Source organism: Homo sapiens, chromosome 11, assembly GCF_000001405.40.
Source record: "Homo sapiens chromosome 11, GRCh38.p14 Primary Assembly".
Taxonomy (NCBI): domain Eukaryota; kingdom Metazoa; phylum Chordata; class Mammalia; order Primates; family Hominidae; genus Homo; species Homo sapiens.
Window position 1 is genome coordinate 35,757,339 of NC_000011.10, and position 18,960 is coordinate 35,776,298.

At 40.9% G+C, this 18,960-nt stretch overlaps 1 protein-coding gene across 2 annotated transcripts in view, besides 2 other annotated features; it reads left to right on the plus strand.

The window, feature by feature from the left end:
• TRIM44 (tripartite motif containing 44) overlaps positions 1-18,960 on the plus strand; it is a 155,233-nt gene that overhangs the window by 94,564 nt on the left and 41,709 nt on the right. The gene's annotated exons all lie outside the window — the stretch shown is intronic.
• Positions 10,184-10,353: an enhancer, noted in NCBI's record as "experimental_21295 CRE fragment used in MPRA reporter constructs". NCBI's record gives its function as "activates a minimal promoter by MPRAs in K562 erythroleukemia cells, with activity observed for the non-introgressed 11:35789156 variant allele {active_cell/tissue: K562}" and the evidence as "EXISTENCE:reporter gene assay evidence [ECO:0000049][PMID:34662402]".
• Positions 14,213-14,720: an enhancer, noted in NCBI's record as "H3K4me1 hESC enhancer chr11:35793100-35793607 (GRCh37/hg19 assembly coordinates)". NCBI's record gives its function as "activates a minimal SCP1, AML or CMV promoter by ChIP-STARR-seq in naive H9 embryonic stem cells {active_cell/tissue: H9 hESC(naive)}" and the evidence as "EXISTENCE:reporter gene assay evidence [ECO:0000049][PMID:30033119]".

An 18,960-nucleotide genomic window follows, 5' to 3' on the forward strand; every position in this document is an offset into this window, starting at 1 on the left:
TGTGGTGATATCCCCTTTATCATTTTTTATTGCGTCTATTTGATTCTTCTCTCTTTTCTTCATTAGTCTTGCTAGCAGTCTATCAATTTTGTTGATTTTTTCAAAAAACCAGCTCCTGGATTCATTGATTTTTGAAGGGTTTTTTATGTCTGTATTTCCTTCAGTTCTGTTCTGATCTTAGTTATTTCTTGCCTTCTGCTAACTTTTGAATGTGTTTGCTCTTGCTTCTCTAGTTCTTTTAATTGTGATGTTAGGGTGTCAATTTTGGATCTTTTCTGCTTTCTCTTGTGGGCATTTAGTGCTATAAATTTTCCTCTACACACTGCTTTGAATGTGTCCCAGAGATTCTGGTATGCTGTGTCTTTGTTCTCATTGGTTTCAAAGAACATCTTTCTTTCTGCTTTCATTTCGTTATGTACCCAGTAGTCATTCAGGAGCAGGTTGTTCAGTTTCCATGTAGTTGAGCGGTTTTTAGTGAGTTTCTTAATCTTGAGTTCTAGTTTGATTGCACTGTGGTCTCAGAGACAATTTGTTATAATTTCTGTTCTTTTACATTTGCTGAGGAGTACTTTACTTCCCACTATGCGGTCAATTTTGGAATAGGTGTGATGTGGTGCTGAAAAGAATGTATATTCTGTTGATTTGGGGTGGAGAGTTCTGTAGATGTCTATTAGGTCCGCTTGGTGCAGAGCTGAGTTCAATTCCTGGGTATGCTTGCTAACTTTCTGTCTCGTTGATCTGTCTAATGTTGACAGTGGGGTGTTAAAGTCTCCCATTATTATTGTGTGGGAGTCTAAGTCTCTTTGTAGTTCTCTAAGGACTTGCTTTGTGAATCTGGGTGCTCCTGTATTGGGTGCACGTATATTTAGGATAGTTAGCTCTTATTGTTGAATTGATCCCTTTGCCATTATGTAATGGCCTTCTTTGTCTCTTTTGATCTTTGTTGGTTTAAAGTTTGTTTCATCAGAGACTAGGATTGCAACCCCTGCCTTTTTTTGTTTTCCATTTGCTTAGTAGATCTTCCTCCATCCCTTTATTTTGAGCCTATGTGTGTCTCTGCATGTGAGATGGGTTTCCTGAATACAGTACACTGATGGGTCTTGACTCTTTATCCAGTTTGCCAGTCTGTGTCTTTTAATTGGAGCATTTAGCCCATTTACATTTAAGATTAATATTGTTATGTGTGAATTTGATCCTGTCTTTATGATGTTAGCTGGTTATTTTGCTCGTTAGTTGATGCAGTTTCTTCCCAGCCTCAATGGTCTTTACGATTTGGCATGTTTTTGCAGTGGCTGGTACTGGTTTTTCCTTTCCATGTTTAGTGCTTCCTTCAGGAGCTCTTTTAGGGCAGGCTTGTTGGTGACAAAATCTCTCAGCATTTGTTTGTCTGTAAAGTATTTTATTTCTCCTTCACTTATGAAGCTTAGTTTGGCTGGATATGAAATTCTGGGTTGAAAATTCTTTTCTTTAAGAATGTTGAGTATTGGCCCCCACTCTCTTCTGGCTTGTAGAGTTTCTGCCAAGACATCAGCCGTTAGTCTGATGGGCTTCCCTTTGTGGGTAACCCAACCTTTCTCTCTGGCTGCCCTTAACGTTTTTTCCTTCATTTCAACTTTGGTGAACCTGACAGTTATGTGTCTTGGAGTTGCTCTTCTCAAGGAGTATCTTTGTGGCATTCTCTGTATTTCCTGAATTTGAATGTTGGCCTGCCTTGCTAGATTGGGGAAGTTCTCCTGGATAATATCCTGCAGAGTGTTTTCCAACTTGGTTCCATTCTCCCCGTCACTTTCAGGTACACCAGTGAGACACAGATTTGGTCTTTTCACATAGTCCCATATTTCTTGGAGGCTTTGTTGGTTTCTTTTTATTCTTTTTTCTCTAAACTTCTCTTCTCGCTTCATTTCATTCATTTGATCTTCCATCACTGATACCCTTTCTACCAGTTGATCAAATCGGCTACTGAGGCTTGTGCATTCGTCACGTAGTTCACATGCCATGGTTTTCAGCTCCATCAGGTCCTTTAAGGACCTCTCTGCATTGGTTATTCTAGTTAGCCATTCGTCTAATTTTTTTTCAAGGTTTTTAACTTCTTTGCCTTGGGTTCGAACTTCTTCCTTTAGCTCAGAGTAGTTTGATCATCTGAAGCCTTCTTCTCTCAACTCGTCAAAGTCATTCTCTGTCCAGCTTTGTTCCGTTGCTGGTAAGTAGCTGCATTCCTTTGGAGGATGAGAGGCGCTCTGATTTTTAAAGTTTCCAGTTTTTCTGCTCTGTTTTTTCCCCATCTTTGTGGTTTTATCTACTTTTGGTCTTTGATGATGGTGACGTACAGATGGGGTTTTGGTGTGGATGTCCTTTCTGTTAGTTTTCCTTCTAACAGTCAGGACCCTCAGCTGCAGGTCTGTTGGAGTTTCCTGGAGGTCCACTCCAGACCCTGTTTGCCTGGGTATCAGCAGCGGAGCCTGCAGAACAGCATATATTGGTGAACAGCAAATGTTGCTGCCTGATCATTCCTCTGGAAGTTTTGTCTCAGAGGAGTACCCAGCCGTGTGAGGTGTCAGTCTGCCCTTACTGGGGGCTGTCTCCCAGTTAGGCTACTCGGGGTTCAGGGACCCACTTGAGGCAGTCTGTCTGTTCTCAGATCTCCAGCTGCATGCTGGGAGAACCACTACTCTCTTCAAAGCTGTCAAACAGGGACATATAAGTCTGCAGAGGTTTCTGCTGCGTTTTGTTTGCTTATGCCCTGCCCTCAGAGGTGGAGCCTACAGAGGCAGGCAGGCCTCCTTGAGCTGTGGTGGGCTCCACCTAGTTCAAGCTTCCTGGCCGCTTTGTTTACCTACTCAAGCCTCGGTAATGGCAGGTGCCCCTCCCCCAGCCTCACTGCCACCTTGCAGTTTGGTCTCAGACTGCTGTGCTAGCAATCAGCGAGGCTCCGTGGGCGTAGGACCCTCCGAGCCAGGCATGGGATATAAAATCTCCTGTTGTGCCATTTGCTAAGACCGTTGGAAAAGTGCAGTATTAGGGTGGGAGTGACCTGATGTTACAGGTGCCATCTGTCACCCCTTTCTTTGACTAGGAAAGGGAATTCCCTGACCCCTTGCGCTTCCCAGGTGAGGCGATGCCTCGCCCTGCTTAAGCTCATGCTTGGTGCACTGAACCCAGTGTCCTGCACCCACTTTCTGACACTCCCCAGTGAGATGAACCCGGTACCTCAGTTGGAAATGCAGAAATCACTCGTCTTCTGCGTCACTCATGCTGGGAGCTGTAGACTGGAACTGTTCCTATTCGGCCATCTTGGCTCCACTTCCTATGTTTTTTAAATTAATTTATTTTTTAGATTGACAGATAAAATTGTGTATTTATATAGTACAACATGGTGTTTTGAAGTACATATACATAGCTGAATGGTTAAATCTGGCTAGTTAACATGCATTATCTCACATTATCATTTTTTATAGTGAGAGCACTTAATGTCCTCTCTTAACATTTTTCAGAAATACAGTATTTTATCTATAGTCACCATGGTGTAGTCACCGTGCAATTGATCTATTAAACTTATTCCTTCTACCTAGCTGTAATTTTATATCCTTTGGCCAACATCTTCCTAACCCCTCCCTCAACTGCCCCAGCCTCTGGTAACTATCATTCTTCTCTCTACTTCTGTAAGATCAACTTTTTTAGATTCCACATATTAGTAAGGTTGTACACTATTTGTCTTTCCATGCCTGGCTTGTTTCACTTAATATAATGTCCTTCAGGTTCATCTGTGTTGTTGCAAATGGCAGGATTTCCCTTTTTTTATGGCCAACTAGTATTCCATTGTGTATATATACTACATTTTATTTATTCATTCATCCATTGATGGTTGCTTAAGTTGATTCCACATCTTGGCTATTGCAAGTATAATTTATCTTTGGACTTACCACTTCTCTATTTGATAATTATCTGTCTGCTATATTATACCAACAGCCTTCAAGCTCCCGAATGGCAGAGTCTGTACCCAAGTTTTATCTCTATAACAAGTCTATTGTAGCAGGTCTGTTGTATTGTTTGCTCTCTCTCTCTCTCTCTATATATATATGTGATACTTTGCCATGTTCTAGACTTGGAAAATGATTGACTAGGACTCATGAACCCATGGCCATTCCTTAGATAATAATGATCACAGCCGTAACAGCTAATACTGATTGAGGGCCTACTATGTGACAGACACTGTTAAGGGTGTTACCTGTCATAATTCCATTTAATCCTTATAATAACCTCATAGGGGTAGAGTAGATACTATTGTCATCTCTGTTTTCCAAATGAGGAAAATTAAACATTCAAAGATAAAATAATTTGTCCAAGGTCACATAGCTAGTAAATGGTAGACTAGTATTTGAACCAAAGCTTTCTGGCTGCAGAGTCATATCACTATTGTAGACTTGCACTGAAATGAATAAAACTTCTCCTATGCATGTCTCCTCTTAAAGATGGCTTTAAATCTAATTCCTCAAGGCTGTTATTTATTTTTGTTTAAAGTGACTTACCTTCCCTGTTTGCTCTTTGAGCCTTCTGAGAAGGGCAAGGATGCAGCAGAGAGAGCCTTGGAGAGAGTAAACTGTATTCTCAGGAATACAATGGCAGAAGAGCACCTGGAGAGATTTGAGCAGTGCCCTTTTCCCTTTCCTTGGGAGGTGACAGGCTAAGAGGGTGCTTTCATGGCAGTGGCTGCCCTTTCAGCTTCAGGCTTGTGTACCTTGTACATGATGAGACTGGAGAACAGTGGACTGTCTGAGCCAGTGACCGTGCAGGCTGCTCTCTGGAAAAGCAGGGTGTGAATGCAAATTTATTGTCCTGGGACATTCCCCAATATAAATAGACTTTTTGTGCTAACTCCTGCTTTTCCAATTGAGGGCTATTTTCTCTTTCTTTTTTTAAAACAATCTTTCTAGATGGCATTTTTTTTCCTTCCTGTCTTTGAGTGATAGGGCTCACATCTAGGAAGGAAATGATCTTTTACTTCAAAGGTTATATCCCTGTCAGACTTAAAGTTGTTTAAAATTAAGTCTTTGCCTCTGGAGCTCTGAGTCAAGGTGAAGAATGCTCACTCCAGAGTTCTGACTCCTTGAGGACTAGAAGTAAGAGTGAACTCTTGCCTTGAGCCAGGTACAGTCGGTCAGGGAATAAGTCTTTATTGAGCCTTGACTAGGTGCTTGGGCTTGTGATAGGATGAAATCCTTGCCCCCAAGTTGCTTACAACCATGGGGAAATGGTGTAGGAGAGTCAAGATCATAATATGTGAAATAACCAGACAACAGTAAGATAATACATAATTAAGAACCAAATACATATATCAAACTCAAGCAGTTGTAAGCATTCTCAGAATCAGTGTGATGCAATGGTTAAAGAATTTTGGCTTTGGGGTTAGAGGTTCTGGGTTTGAATTCCAGCTTTACCACCTGCTAGCTATATAACTTTAGACCTACTATTTAACTATTTAAACTATTTAAACTAAGGAGTTTAACTATTTAAACTCCTTAGGCCTTAGTTTTCTCATCTGCAAAATGGAGATGATAATAGTATCTAAAGTAAGTTTGCTGTTAGGCTTAAATAAGATGATCCATTCATTCAGTTAAAAAAAATTTCAGTGCCTTCTTTGTGCAAGGCACTATTTTAAGTATGTGGAATACACAGATGACCTTGGAATCTCAGTGGCAATAACGACAAATGTTTGTTTTTCTCACATACTACATGTCCACTCTGGATCAGCTTTAGCTCTGCTCCCTTCTCCTTTATTCTAAGACCAAAGCTAAAGGTGAGCCCCTATGTGGGAAATGCTGGCAAAGGGAAAAGGGCAATAGAAAACCATGCAATCCACCCTAGTAGAGCAGAAAATCACTGTTGGGGCAGAGTGAGAAGTGATTTCAGATGGAGAGAAAGAGAGTCCTGAAGGCCCACTAGATTAGAACATTATTGCAGTGATTCAGATGAAAGATCTTGACATTCTGGACTTGGATAAGCACAGTAGCAAAGGAGAGAAGAGAACAGGTGGAGGGAACAAGGATACAGGGAAATGGAGAGGACTTAGTGAGTGGCTGTATTTGAGGAATAAGGGAGAAGGATGGAGCTAAACTAAGAGCACTAGCTTCCAAAATTAGCTGTGCTACTAAGTTTACTTAGTTGTGTAAACTCAAGTCATTGAACCTCTCTGGCCTTGAGTTTTGAACATTTATAAAATGAGAGTCCTGAGTTTGATGTGGTCCCTAAGGTTCCTTCCAGCTCTATTCCTCTGGCTCTAAAACTCCAAGGTCTTTGTTCTGGAAGACCACACACTACTGGGAGTGGTGCTATTGGGAGGCTAAATTAATTTCGAGAGAAAGATGTTACAAAAACCTAGTTTTGCATTTGTCTGCTTCTATTGGGTTGTGTGCCTTTCCTTTTTGCCTTTGCTCGTAGCCTTCGCTTTCTCCTTGGCTTGATTGTGAATCCAGAAAGGAGATAGAATTTATTCTTCATCTCCAAGGTGGGATCCTTGGGAAGACACAGGGCCTGGAGGTCGTGGAACTAATGCAGCCTTGTGTACAACGCCTTTCCAGTGTCTTTGGTATCTTGGCATCTTTATATGCTTCCATTAGCATATTTTGCAGTATGATAACATCTTCACAGATGTTAGCCAGGAGGTCTGTTTGGAGAGAAACTTTATGTTCCCCTATTCCCACATATCCACAGAATCAGAAACTTTGGCCAACTCTTTCTTCTTCTCAAGGGCATGCTTCTTCCTCTCTTTTATCTCTTGCTTGCTCCTTCTCATGGGAAGAGGAGCAACTTGTCTCATTGGTTAGAGTCTGGCAATCATTTGGTCCCTCTTTGTTGTACAGAGTTAATGTGTTAACAACTCCTGCTCCAAAAAGACAACATGGTCTTATCCTTTTCTTTTGCTTTCTTTGATCACCTAGTTCAGGCAGGGTGGGCCTTCCTTCTGCTCACCATTACAGTAAGCAGATTAGGATGGAATTGCCTCTGATAAACCCAGACAGGTCTTTCTTTCAACTTCTCTTTCAGGTCACTTTTCCCCTGGGATTTAGATAACATTAATTTAGTCGGAGAGGCGGCAGAAAACACCTGCTATAGCCTCTGACACCAGTCCATGTAAGTCAGCACTGTACTTTATTAGTTGGGTCTCCATTAGCAAAAGTAGTACCTTGATCACAGTTTAGCTGCTTAGTTTCTGCTCTTCCTGTTTGAAATTGGAGAATCTAGTAAATAAGTGACACCATGACCTTTGGCAGAACCCGTTCGGCATCACATCACAGTTGTTAATGGTTTCCTATCCCTCTTTCCCAGCTTTGCCAGTAGGAGAGTACAATTATCAAAGAGGAAGACGGTTTGCACCTTGCATCGTAGGAAGTAGTTTACAAAGCTGAGTGGCCATCAACCAGTATATGCTTGACCCATAAACTGTGCTTCCAGGAAACAGTCCAGCTTTATATCCTGGCATTTTAACCATTTCAGATGGTCTTTTCAGTTAAATGATTACTTTGACTTCTCAGTATTAAATTTATTATGCAGTATGAGCTCTCTGAAGATGAATGTTGTACTTAATTTTTTTAAAAAAAAACCTCCTTCTCATACCCATCCCTATTCCATATCCCATATAGTGTTTTGTAATAAAACTTTTCAACTGGAAAGTACTTAATAAATTCTGACATGATATCGAAAGACTTTTTTTTGTTGTTTGTTTGTTTCTAAAATGAGAGGCCAACTCAGTTGAAATGGCTAAGCCATTTGTGTGCATAGTTGCAATCCCAGTTGATTCGTTACAGAAAAAATTTAAATCTTAATAATTATTTTCAGGACCTCTGTCATGAGACAGAGCTCATGGGCCTTGATTTATTCCACAAACATGTATACCAGATACTGTATGAGGCACAACAGAGAAAAAGAATAAGCCAGGGGCCTTGCTTTCAAGGCATCATAGCCCAGTTGAGAAATGAAATTCCTGAACAAAGAATTATAATCTACCAGTATGAGAACCCACATAGAGAAATGTGTTAAGTGCTATGGGAAGCAGAGTAAAATATGACTAGTTCTTCCTAGGAATCAAGGAAGATTTCACAGATGTTGACTCATTCCGACCAGTGACTTGAAAAGAACTGTACAACAGTAAGTTGAATGGTGACAGGTAGAGAATGGACATCCTAATGGTAAGCTCTGTTAGTTACAAGGAGATTTTAGAACTATGGTTAAGGGGAAAGTGTGCATTGCCTCACTATTTAAGTCCTTTGTCAGCATTGTGCTTTATTTTGCAAGGAGAGGGTTTTGCCAGCATTTATCCTTCTGGTTCTAGGCAAAGCTTGGGTATAAAAGAAGTAAACTTGGCATATTCTGAGGCAGCCATAATTTGAAGCCTTTCAGTCTTGATGTTTCACTCATTCATTCATTTGTTTATTCATTCTCTCCTGCTCTTTCTGTGCAATCTGATAGAACAAAATTTAGTTTCTTTTTAACCATCCCCTATTCTTTCAGTTCTTCTTTGGTATAACTATGTCTCCTGTTTCTTACTGTGTTTGTCGGAGACTAATTGTAAGAAACCAAAATCCATCCAAACTAGTTCAATCAACACAGAGTGGTAAGGAAAGGATATGGTACATTTCATAAGACCCAATAAAAGCAAGTATTTCTGTGCCTGGTGGAGACAGGAGTAGGAATTGCTTACAACCAGAGATTACTCTCACAGTCTTCTTTCTTCTCTTTTTCTCTTTCTCCTTTTTGCATCACTCTCTACCTTCCAGAACAGCCTCCTCTTTTTACTTGTGTCTCTCTTCTTCCTATGTAATTTCAGCTTGCACTGGCATCACTTTGGCCCATGCCCTGCAGTTCTCTGATGCACATTTACCCTTATCTTAACACTGTCTCAAAAGAAAACCCAGCCAATTCATCTGTCCGTTAATTAGCTGCTTGAGTTAGGTGGGCATACCTAGTCCAGTCAGCTACAGTAAAAAAGTATGCGTGTGTTGGGGTTGGGAATTTATCTGGTTATATAGGGCTTCTCCTCCCCAAGGCCAGGGTAGAGCAGAAGGGTAAATTGGGAAAGGTAGGCAGAATTGAATGATACTCTGCTTTATTTCCCTAGAGAGACAAACCAGCGTACAATCTAAGATGACAGTTGAGATTTTCTTAACGAAAGTTTTTCATAGTTGGACAACAGAGTGCTCCTACATGCCCACATTCAGTGTCCATTCCAAAACAAATTCTACTTCTTCCATGTGTAGCATTTTGCAGATAAACTGAGTAGTGATTATTCATCCAGCACATAGTTCTTACCCCTGTTTCTCACTTGCTTTGGCCTCGGCAGGCCGGGATATATGAGAAAAACCAAGAATTTGGAGTCACTGGATTTATTAGTTCCATCTCTTACTAATTCAGTGACCATGAATAAGCTCCAACATCTTAGAACCTCTCTTCCCTGATTCAAAAAATGAGGTTGACTTGTGCCTCACCAGCCTCCCTGGATACTTACAAGGGGCACATGATAAATGTGTGTGGAATGACTTTGTGAATAGTAAAGCACTGTGCAAATGAGTTCAATTATTAACAAATTATGTTAGAGATGGAAACAAAGGTTGATTTTTGGCTTGTCTGACATTTAGCATGAAGTACTAAGGAATAGATTCTCTGATATCTGCTCATCCAAGTCAAGTCATGGTTTTAGGCAAGATTCGTAAACAACACGTTTCTGGTGCTCTGGCTCTCAGACTGTCATCAAGCATGTGAAGTTCCTTGAATGAAAGACGTAATGGAAACAAATGGGTGCATGCTCCTACATCAATGTGTGTGTGTCAGTATGGCCTCCAGGCATGATAGAGGACCTTTCATTTTTTAGCTGAAATTATTTTAATCATTATAGTGGTATTAAATGGGCTGTTATCGGGGTGCTTCTTTTAGTTAGATGGTGATGGTGAAAGAAAAACATGGACCACAAATGTGATTTAACTGAGGATCATCTTTACTTGGTGTGGATAAGAACAAAGAAAAGACCAAACTTGTGAACATACAAGATCACCTTACCTGGCCCTCCTCTGTCAGTCACAGGTTAGGTATGCAATAGATAATCCTCAGTACTACTACTCTGTTCCAGGATGGAGAATTAAGGAGAGGGGAGGTTGGAGGTGCTGCCAGCTCTTTTTCTTTGTCTTTTCTGTGGTTGTATTATGTCTCTGTGCTGTGGTGGGATAATGAGGAAATATTATGAGAATAATGTTCTTTCTCTGTGGGAAAAAAAGTTGTATATATATATACATATATATGTTTACCACTTCAGATGTATTATTTGAAGAGAGGCAACTTGATGTAATGGAAGGACCATGGGCTTTGAAGTTATACAGACACGAATTCAAAAATCAAATCCCACATTAACTATTTTTTAGTGGATATGACCTTGGGAAATTACTTAACCTCTGTGAACTTTTCAGATGTTTCATCCATGCAATGCAGATAATAGTGCAGATATGTGATCCCCTAGGACAGGGCCTAGCACATAGATGCTCACTAAATGGTGCCTATAGTGGTAACTATGTAGGCCCCTGATGGTCCTTGGCCCCAAGTGGCAGCTGCAGTGGAAATTTTAATCAGAAGGTTAGGGGGACTTCTTTCTAAAACCACGGTTAGTTTGTAAGGCTGCTCACAGCCCTCTGTTGCAGTTATAACATTCACTGAATCACATAGAGGGACCTTTGGGGAAAGAGAGCACTGCCCAAGGCATAGCGGACTAAAGGCCTAAAGGAAACTTAGACGGGGAATGGGGATTTAAAACTCAATGATTTGATTGTGGGTAGCCCAAAGAGAATGTTTAACTTGGATTCAAACTTTGAGTGTAGACTGTAGAATTGAATTTAAGAAAGTTTTATTATTTAATCCCCTGCTATGTGGCAGGTACCATGCAAAGTAGCTTGCATACTTAATTTAATTTACTGTTCATGGTAGCTGTACAAGGTAGGTGGGATTATTCTCACTTTGAAAATAAGTAAAAGAAGCTAAATAATTTGTTGAAGGTCACACAGCTAGTTGAAGGTCACACAGCTAGAAGTTGAGGGTTCGCACTCAACCCAGTTCTGTCTGTTTCCAAATTCCACATTTTTCCCAATATGCCTCACGGCTACCAGATCTCATAGCCCACTTGCTTAGTGCAGTAATTTCTAATCATGGCCCTTGGATCCCTGAAGGATTCAAGGGGATCCCTGAAGATAGAAATGAATTCTATGTGCCATTTTCATTATTTCAAAAACTTTAATGGAAAATCTTATATTTAGTTGCAACAAGTTTATACTTGGTAACAAAAATGGCATGTTTCTTTGCTTACAGTTAACTGTTTTTCTCCCATGGTGACCTAGTTTGTCAGTTATTGATGTATGTAATAAAACTAATTAAACACTCAAAAATGCTTTTGGTTAGACAAAGTCTTTCAGATTCTGAAGCTCATGGGGAGGGTAAATGGGTGTTCTTGATGGTAAAAAATATATGAAATATAGTCAGATTTGAAGACTGCAAATTGATGGGTCATCAGCCAATTCTGGCCTAAAGATGCATTTTGTTTGGCTAATAAAATGGTGGTGTTTTTTAATTTATAAATTCCTGACAAACATTTAAAAATTAGAAAATGTCACATCAAAAAGCAGATGTTTAAGCTTCTTTTCAAAATTCAAAAGTTCTGGCATTAGTGGATCCACATTTGTCCATGACAATAACCAGCTGGAACCGGGTTGTTACTTAGATGAACCACGTGCTTTTTCCAGTTTCCCACAGCCTCCACCTGACCCAGTTCATTGATGTATATTACCTGTCAGGCTCAGTAAGCATGTGAGTCTGTGATTCCTGGGCTAGCTCAGACTCCTCATCATCTTGTTTGGCTATGGAGTAAAACCCATTTTCCGTCTGTGATCACTCACATCTTTTGTACTCTGTACAGCTTTGTGTCTTGGGACTTTTTTCTTATGTTGTTATTTTATGTCTTTCATGTAAATAGGTCTGTTTGACAAGAGCCACATTCTCATCAGTTCACAGTTGGCATTGTTTTGGGGGCTGGAAATGCAGAGGAGTCTTATGGTGCTCGCACCCTGAGGGAGGTCACAGTCTAGCCTTGTTTCTTTTTAATTTACAAAGCATCCAGCATTCTGATGTGCATGTTCAGGACTTATTAGAATGTGGAGATTAACAGCATGGGATTTGGTATCAGAAAGACCTAGGTTAGAGTACTGATGTAGTTTATGTAAACTCTTCAGCTTCTGTTTTCTTGTCTTTAAAAGGGGGATAATTAATAGTACTTATGGGATACAGTGAGGTTTGAATGACCCAGTGATTATAAGGGGCTTAGTTCCAATCCATAACATTTAATAACTGCCAAATACCTGGTAACTCTTATTACTAGGGCTGGACATACAGTTGGCTCTCAATTGATGCTTGTTGAATTAACAAATAAATTGAACAAATTGAGTGTAAGGAATTAGATGTATTCAGACAAATAACTGCAATGGATGATGTCACCAAAAGTGTCTCCAGCAGGCCTAAGGACTATGAATTTATTTATTTTTTTTATAATTTCAACTTTTATTTTAGGTTCAAGAGGTACACTTGCTTCATTTGTTACATTAATATATTGCATGATGCTGAGGTATGGGGTACAATTGATCCTATCACCCAGGTAGTGAGTGTAGTACCTAATAGTTTTTCAACCCTTGCCCCACTCCCTTCCCCGTCTAGTAGTCCCTAGTGTCTATTATTGCCATCTTTATGTCTGTGTGTACCCAGTATTCAGCTCCCACTTACAAATGAGAATATGCAGTATTTGGTTTTTGTTCCTGTGTTAATTCACTTAGGATAATGACCTTCAGCTGTATCCATACTGCTGCAAAGGACATGGTTTTGTTCTTTTTATGACTACATAGTATTCCATGGTGTCTTTGTATCATATTTGCTTTATCCAGTGCACTGCTGATGGGCACACAAGGTTGATTCCATGTCTTTGCTATTGGGAATAGTGCTGTGATGAACTAAGAGCGCATGTAACTTTTTGGTAGAATGATTTATTTTGTATTGGATATATACCCAGTAATGGGATTGCTGGGTTGAATAATAATTCTGTTTTAAGCTCTTTAACTGCTTTCCACAGTGGCTAAACTAATTTACATTCCCATCAACTGTGTATAAACATTTCCTTTTCTCCATAGCCTCACCAGCATCTGTTGTTTTTTGACCTTTTAATAATAGCAATTCTGACTGGTGTGAGATGGTATCTCATTGTGGTTTTGACTTGCATTTCTCTGAGGATTAGTAATGTTGAACATTTTTCCATATGTTTGTTGGCCGCTTGGATGTTGATATGGTTTAGCTCTGTGTCCCCACCCAAATCTCATCTTGAATTCTATTCCCATAATTACCATGTGTTGTAGGAGGGACCCAGTGGGAGATAATTTGAATTATGGGGGCAGTTTCCCCCATACTGTTCTTGTGGTAGCGAATAAGTCTCACGAGATCTTTCATCTCATTTTCTCTTGCCACCACCGTGTAAGAGGTACCTTTTGCCTCCTGCCGTGAATCTGAGGCCTCCCCAGCCATGTGGAACGCTAAGCCCAATTAACTCTCTTTTTTCTTCCCAGTCTCAGTTATGTCTTTATCAGCAGCGTGAAAATGGACTAATAGAGTAAATTGGTACCAATAGAGCGGGGCGTTGCTGAAAAGATACCTGAAAATGTGGAAGCGACTTTGGAACTGGGTAACAAGCAGAGGTTGGAACAGTTTGGAGGGCTCACAAGAAGACAGGGAAATGTGGGAAAGTTTGGAACTTCCTAGAGAGTTGTTGAATGGCTTTGACAAAAATGCTGATAGTGATATGAACAATAAGGTCCAGACTGAGGTGGTCTCATATGGAGATGAGGAAGTTGTTGGAAACTGGCGCAAAGGTGACTCTTGTTATGTTTTCGCAAAAAGACTGGTGGCATTTTGCCCCTGCCCTAGAAATTTTTGGAACTTTGAACTTGAGAGAGATGATTTAGGGTATCTAGTGGAAAAAAATTTCTAAGCAGCAAAGTGTTCAAAAGGTGACTTGGGTGCCATTAAAAGCATTTAGTTTTGGATGCGCACGGTGGCTCATGCCTGTAATCCCGGCACTTTGGGAGGCCAAGGTGGGCGGATTATGAGGTCAGGAGTTGGAGACTAGCCTGGCCAACATAGTGAAACCCCCGTCTCTACTAAAAATACAAAAATTAGCTGGGCTTGTTGTCAGATGCCTGTAATCTCAGCTACTTGGGAGGCTGAAGCAAGAGAATCGCTTGAAGGTGGGAGACAGAGGTTGCAGTGAGCCAAGATCATGCCACTGCTCTCCAGCCAGGGTGAGAGAGCGAGACTCTGTCTCAAAAAAGAAAAAAAAAAAAAAGCATTTAGTTTTAAAAGGCAAACAGAACATGAAAGTTTGGAAAATTTGCAGCCTCACAATGTGATAGAAAAGAAAAACCCATTTTTCTGAGGAGAAATTCAAGCCGTCTGCATAAATTTGCATAAGGGGAGCCGAATGTTAATCCCCAGGACAATGGGGAAAATATCTCCAAGGCTTGTCAGAGGTCTTCACAGCAGGGCCTCCCATCACAGGCCCAGAGGTCTAGGAGAACATGGTTTCCTTGGTCAGCCCAGTGTCCCTGTGCTGTGTGCAGCCTAGGAACTTGGTGCCCTGTGCCCCAGCCACTCCAGCCATGGCTGAAAGGGGCCAACGTAGAGCTCGGGCCTTGGCTTCAGAGGGTGTAAGCCGCAAGCCTTGACAGCTGCCACATGGTGTTGAGCCTGTGAGTGCACAGAAGTCAAGAACTAAAGTTTGAGAACCTCCACCTAGATTTCAGAAGATGTATTGAAATGCCTGGATGCCCAGGCATAAGTTTGCTGCAGGGGCGGGGTACTCATGGAGAACCTCTGCTAGGCAGTGCAGAAGAGAAATGTGGGGTTGGAGCCCCTACACAGAGTCCCTACTGGGGCACTGCCTAGTGGAGCTGTGAGAAGAGGGCCACCATCCTCCAGACCCCAGAATGGTAGATCACCGACAGCTTGCACCATGCACTTGGAAAAGTCACAGACACTCAATGGCAGCCCATGAAGGCAGCTGGTAGGGAGGCTATACCCTGCAAAGCCACAAGGGCAGAGCTGCCCAAGACCATGGGAACCCACCTCTTGCATCAGCATGACCCAGATTTGAGACATGGCATCAAAGGACATCATTTTGGAGCTTTAAGATTTGACTGCCCTGCTGGATTTCAGACTTTCATGGGGCTGGTAGCCCCTTTGTTTTGGCCAATTTCCCCCATTTGGAATGGCTGTATTTACCCATGTCACACAGGTAGAACTCAGTGTGCCTGTACCCCCATTGTATCTAGGAAGTAACTAAATTGCTTTTGATTTTACAGGCTCATAGGTGGAAGGGACTTGTCTTGTCTCAGATAAGACTTTGGACTGTGGACTTCTGCGTTAATGCTGAAATAAGTTAAGACTTTGGGGGACTGTTGGGAAGGCATGATTGGTTTTGAAATGTGAGGACTTGAGATTTAAAGGGGACAAGGGCAGAAAGATGGTTTGGCTCTGTGTCCCCATGCAAATCTCATCTTGAATTTTACTCGCATAATCCCATGTGTTGTGGGAGGGACCTGGTGGGAGATAATTTGAATCATGGAGGTGGTTTCCCCCATGCTATTCTCATGGTCGTGAATAAGGCTCACAAGATCTGATGGTTTTATCAGGGGTTTCCGCTTTGGCATCTTCCTCATTTTCTCTTGCTACCACCATGTAAGAAGTGCCATTGCCTCCCGCCATGATTCTGAGGCCTCCCCAGCCATGTGGAACTGTTAAGTCCAATTAAACCTCTTTTTCTTGCCAGTCTCGGTTATGTCTTTGTCAGCAGTGTCAAAACAGACTAATACAGGTGCCTTTTTTTTAAAGAAGTATCTATTCATGTCTTTGGCCCACTTTTTCATGGAGTTACTTGTTCTTTGCTTGTTGAATTGTTCAAGTTTGTTATCGATTCCAGATGTTAGACCTTTGTCAGATGCATAGTTTGCAAATATTTTCTCCCACTTTGCAGGCTGTTTACTCGGTGGATAGTTTATTTTGCTGTACAGAAGCTCTTTTTTAATTATTATACTTTAAGTTCTAGGGTACATGTGCATAAGGTACAGGTTTGTTACATATATATACATGTGCCATGTTGGTGTGCTGCACCCATTAACTCGTCATTTACATTAGATATATCTCCCAGTGCTATCCCTCCCCTCTCCCCCTACCCCACAACAGGCCCCGGTGTGTGGTGTTCCCCACCCTGTGTCCAAGCATTCTCATTGTTCAGTTCCTACCTATGAGTGAGAACGTGCGGTGTTTGGTTTTCTGTCCTTGCGATAGTTTGCTCAGAATGATGGTTTCCAGCTTCATCCATGTCCCTACAAAGGACAAGAACTCATCCTTTTTTATGGCTGCATAGTATCCCGTGGTGTATATGTGCCACATTTTCTTTATTCAGTCTATCATTGATGGACATTTGGGTTGGTTCCAAGTCTTTGCTATTGTGAATAGTGCCACAATAAACATATGCGTGCATGTGTCTTTATGGCAGCATGATTTATAATCCTTTGGGTATATACCCAGTAATGGGATGGCTGGGTCAAATGGTATTTCTAGTTCTAAATCCTTGAGGAATCGCCAAACTGTCTTCCACAATGGTTGAACTAGTTTACAGTCCCACCAACAGTGTAAAAGTGTTCCTATTTCTCCACATCCTCTCCAGCACGTGTTGTTTCCTGACTTTTTAATAATTGCCATTCTAACTGGTGTGAGATGGTATCTCATTGTAGATTTGATTTGCATTTCTCTCATAGCCGGTGATGATGAGCATTTTTTCACGTGTCTGTTGGCTGCATAAATGTCTTCTTCTGAAAAGTGTCTGTCATATCCTTCACCCACTTTTTGATGGGGTTGATTTTTTTCTTGTAAATTTGTTTAACTTCTTTGTAGATTCTAGATATTAGCACCTTGTCAGATGGGTAGATTGTAAAAATTTTCTCCCATTCTGTAGGTTGCCTGTTCACTCTGATGGTAGTTTCTTTTGCTGTGCAGAAGCTCTTTAGTTTAGTTAGATCCCATTTGTCAATTTTGGCTTTTGTTGCCATTGCTTTTGGTGTTTTAATCATGAAGTCCTTGCCCCTGCCTATGTCCTGAATGGTATTACCTAGGTTTTCTTCTAGGGTTTTTTGGTTTTAGGTCTAACATGTAAGTCTTTAATCCATCTTGAATTAATTTTTGTATAAGGTGTAAGGAAGGGATCCAGCTTCAGCTTCCTACATATGGCTAGCTAGTTTTCCCAGCACCATTTATTAAATAGGGAATCCTTTCCCCATTGCTTGTTTTTGTCAGGGTTGTCAAAGATCAGATGGTTGTAGATGTGTGGTATTATTTCTTAGGGTTCTGTTCTGTTCCATTGGTCTATATCTCTGTTTTGGTACCAGTACCATGCTGTTTTGCTTACTGGAGCTTTGTAGTATAGTTTGAAGTCAGGTAGCGTGATGCCTCCATCTTCGTTCTTTTGGCTTAGGATTGTCTTGGCAATGTGGGCTCTTTTTTGGTTCCATATGAACTTTAAAGTAGTTTTTTCCACTTCTGTGAAGAAAGTCATTGGTAGCTTGATTGGGGATGGCATTGAATCTATAAATTACCTTGGGCAGTATGGCCATTTTCATGATATTGATTCTTCCTATGCATGAGCATGGAATGTTCTTCCATTTGTTTGTGTCCTCTTTTATTTCATTGAGCAGTGGTTTGTAGTTCTCCTTGAAGAGGTCCCTCACATCCCTTGTAAGTTGGATTCCTAGGTATTTTATTCTCTTTGAAGCAATTGTGAATGGGAGTTCACTCATGATTTGGCTCTCTGTTTGTCTGTTATTGGTGTATAGGGATGCTTGTGATTTTTACACATTGATTTTGTATCCTGAGACTTTGCTGAAGTTGCTTATCAGCTTAAGGAGATTTTGGGCTGAAACAATGGGATTTTCTAAATATACAATCATATTATCTGCAAACAGGGACAATTTGACTTCCTCTTTTGCTAATTGAATACTCTTTATTTCTTTCTCCTGCCTAATTGCCCTGGCCAGAACTTCCAGCACTATGTTGAATAGGAGTGGTGAGAGAGGGCATCCCTGTCTTGTGCCAGTTTTCGAAGGGAATGCTTCCAGTTTTTGCCCATTCAGTATGATATTGGCTGTGGGTTTGTGATAAATAGCTCTTACCATTTTGAGATACATCCCATCAGTACCTAGTTTATGGAGAGTTTTTAGCATAAAGTGCTGTTGAATTTTGTCAAAGGCCTTTTCTGCATCTATTGAGATAATCATTTGGTTTTTGTCTTTGGTGCTGTTTATATGCTGGATTATGTTTATTGATTTGCGTATGTTGAACCAGCCTCACATCCCAGGGATGAAGCCCACTTGATCATGGTGGATAAGCTTTTTGATGTGCTGCTGGATTCGGTTTGCCAGTATTTTATTGAGGATTTTTGCATCGATGTTCATCAAGGATATTGGTCTAAAATTCTCTTTTTTTGTTGTGTCTCTGCCAGGCTTTGGTATCAGGATGATGCTGGCCTCATAAAATGAGTTAGAGAGGATTCCCTCTCTTTTTATTGATTGGAATAGTTTCAGAAGGACTGGTACAGCTCCCCTTTGTACCTCTGGTAGATTTTGGTTGTTAATCCATCTGGTCCTGGACTTTTTTTGGTTGGTAGGCTCTTAATTATTGCCTCAATTTCAGAGCCTGTTATTGGTCTATTCAGGGATTCAACTTCTAGTCTTGGGAGGGTGTATGTGTCCAGGAATTTATGCATTTCTTCTAGATTTTCTAGTTATTTGCGTGGAGTTGTTTATAGTATTCTCTGATGGTAGTTTGTATTTCTGTGGGATCAGT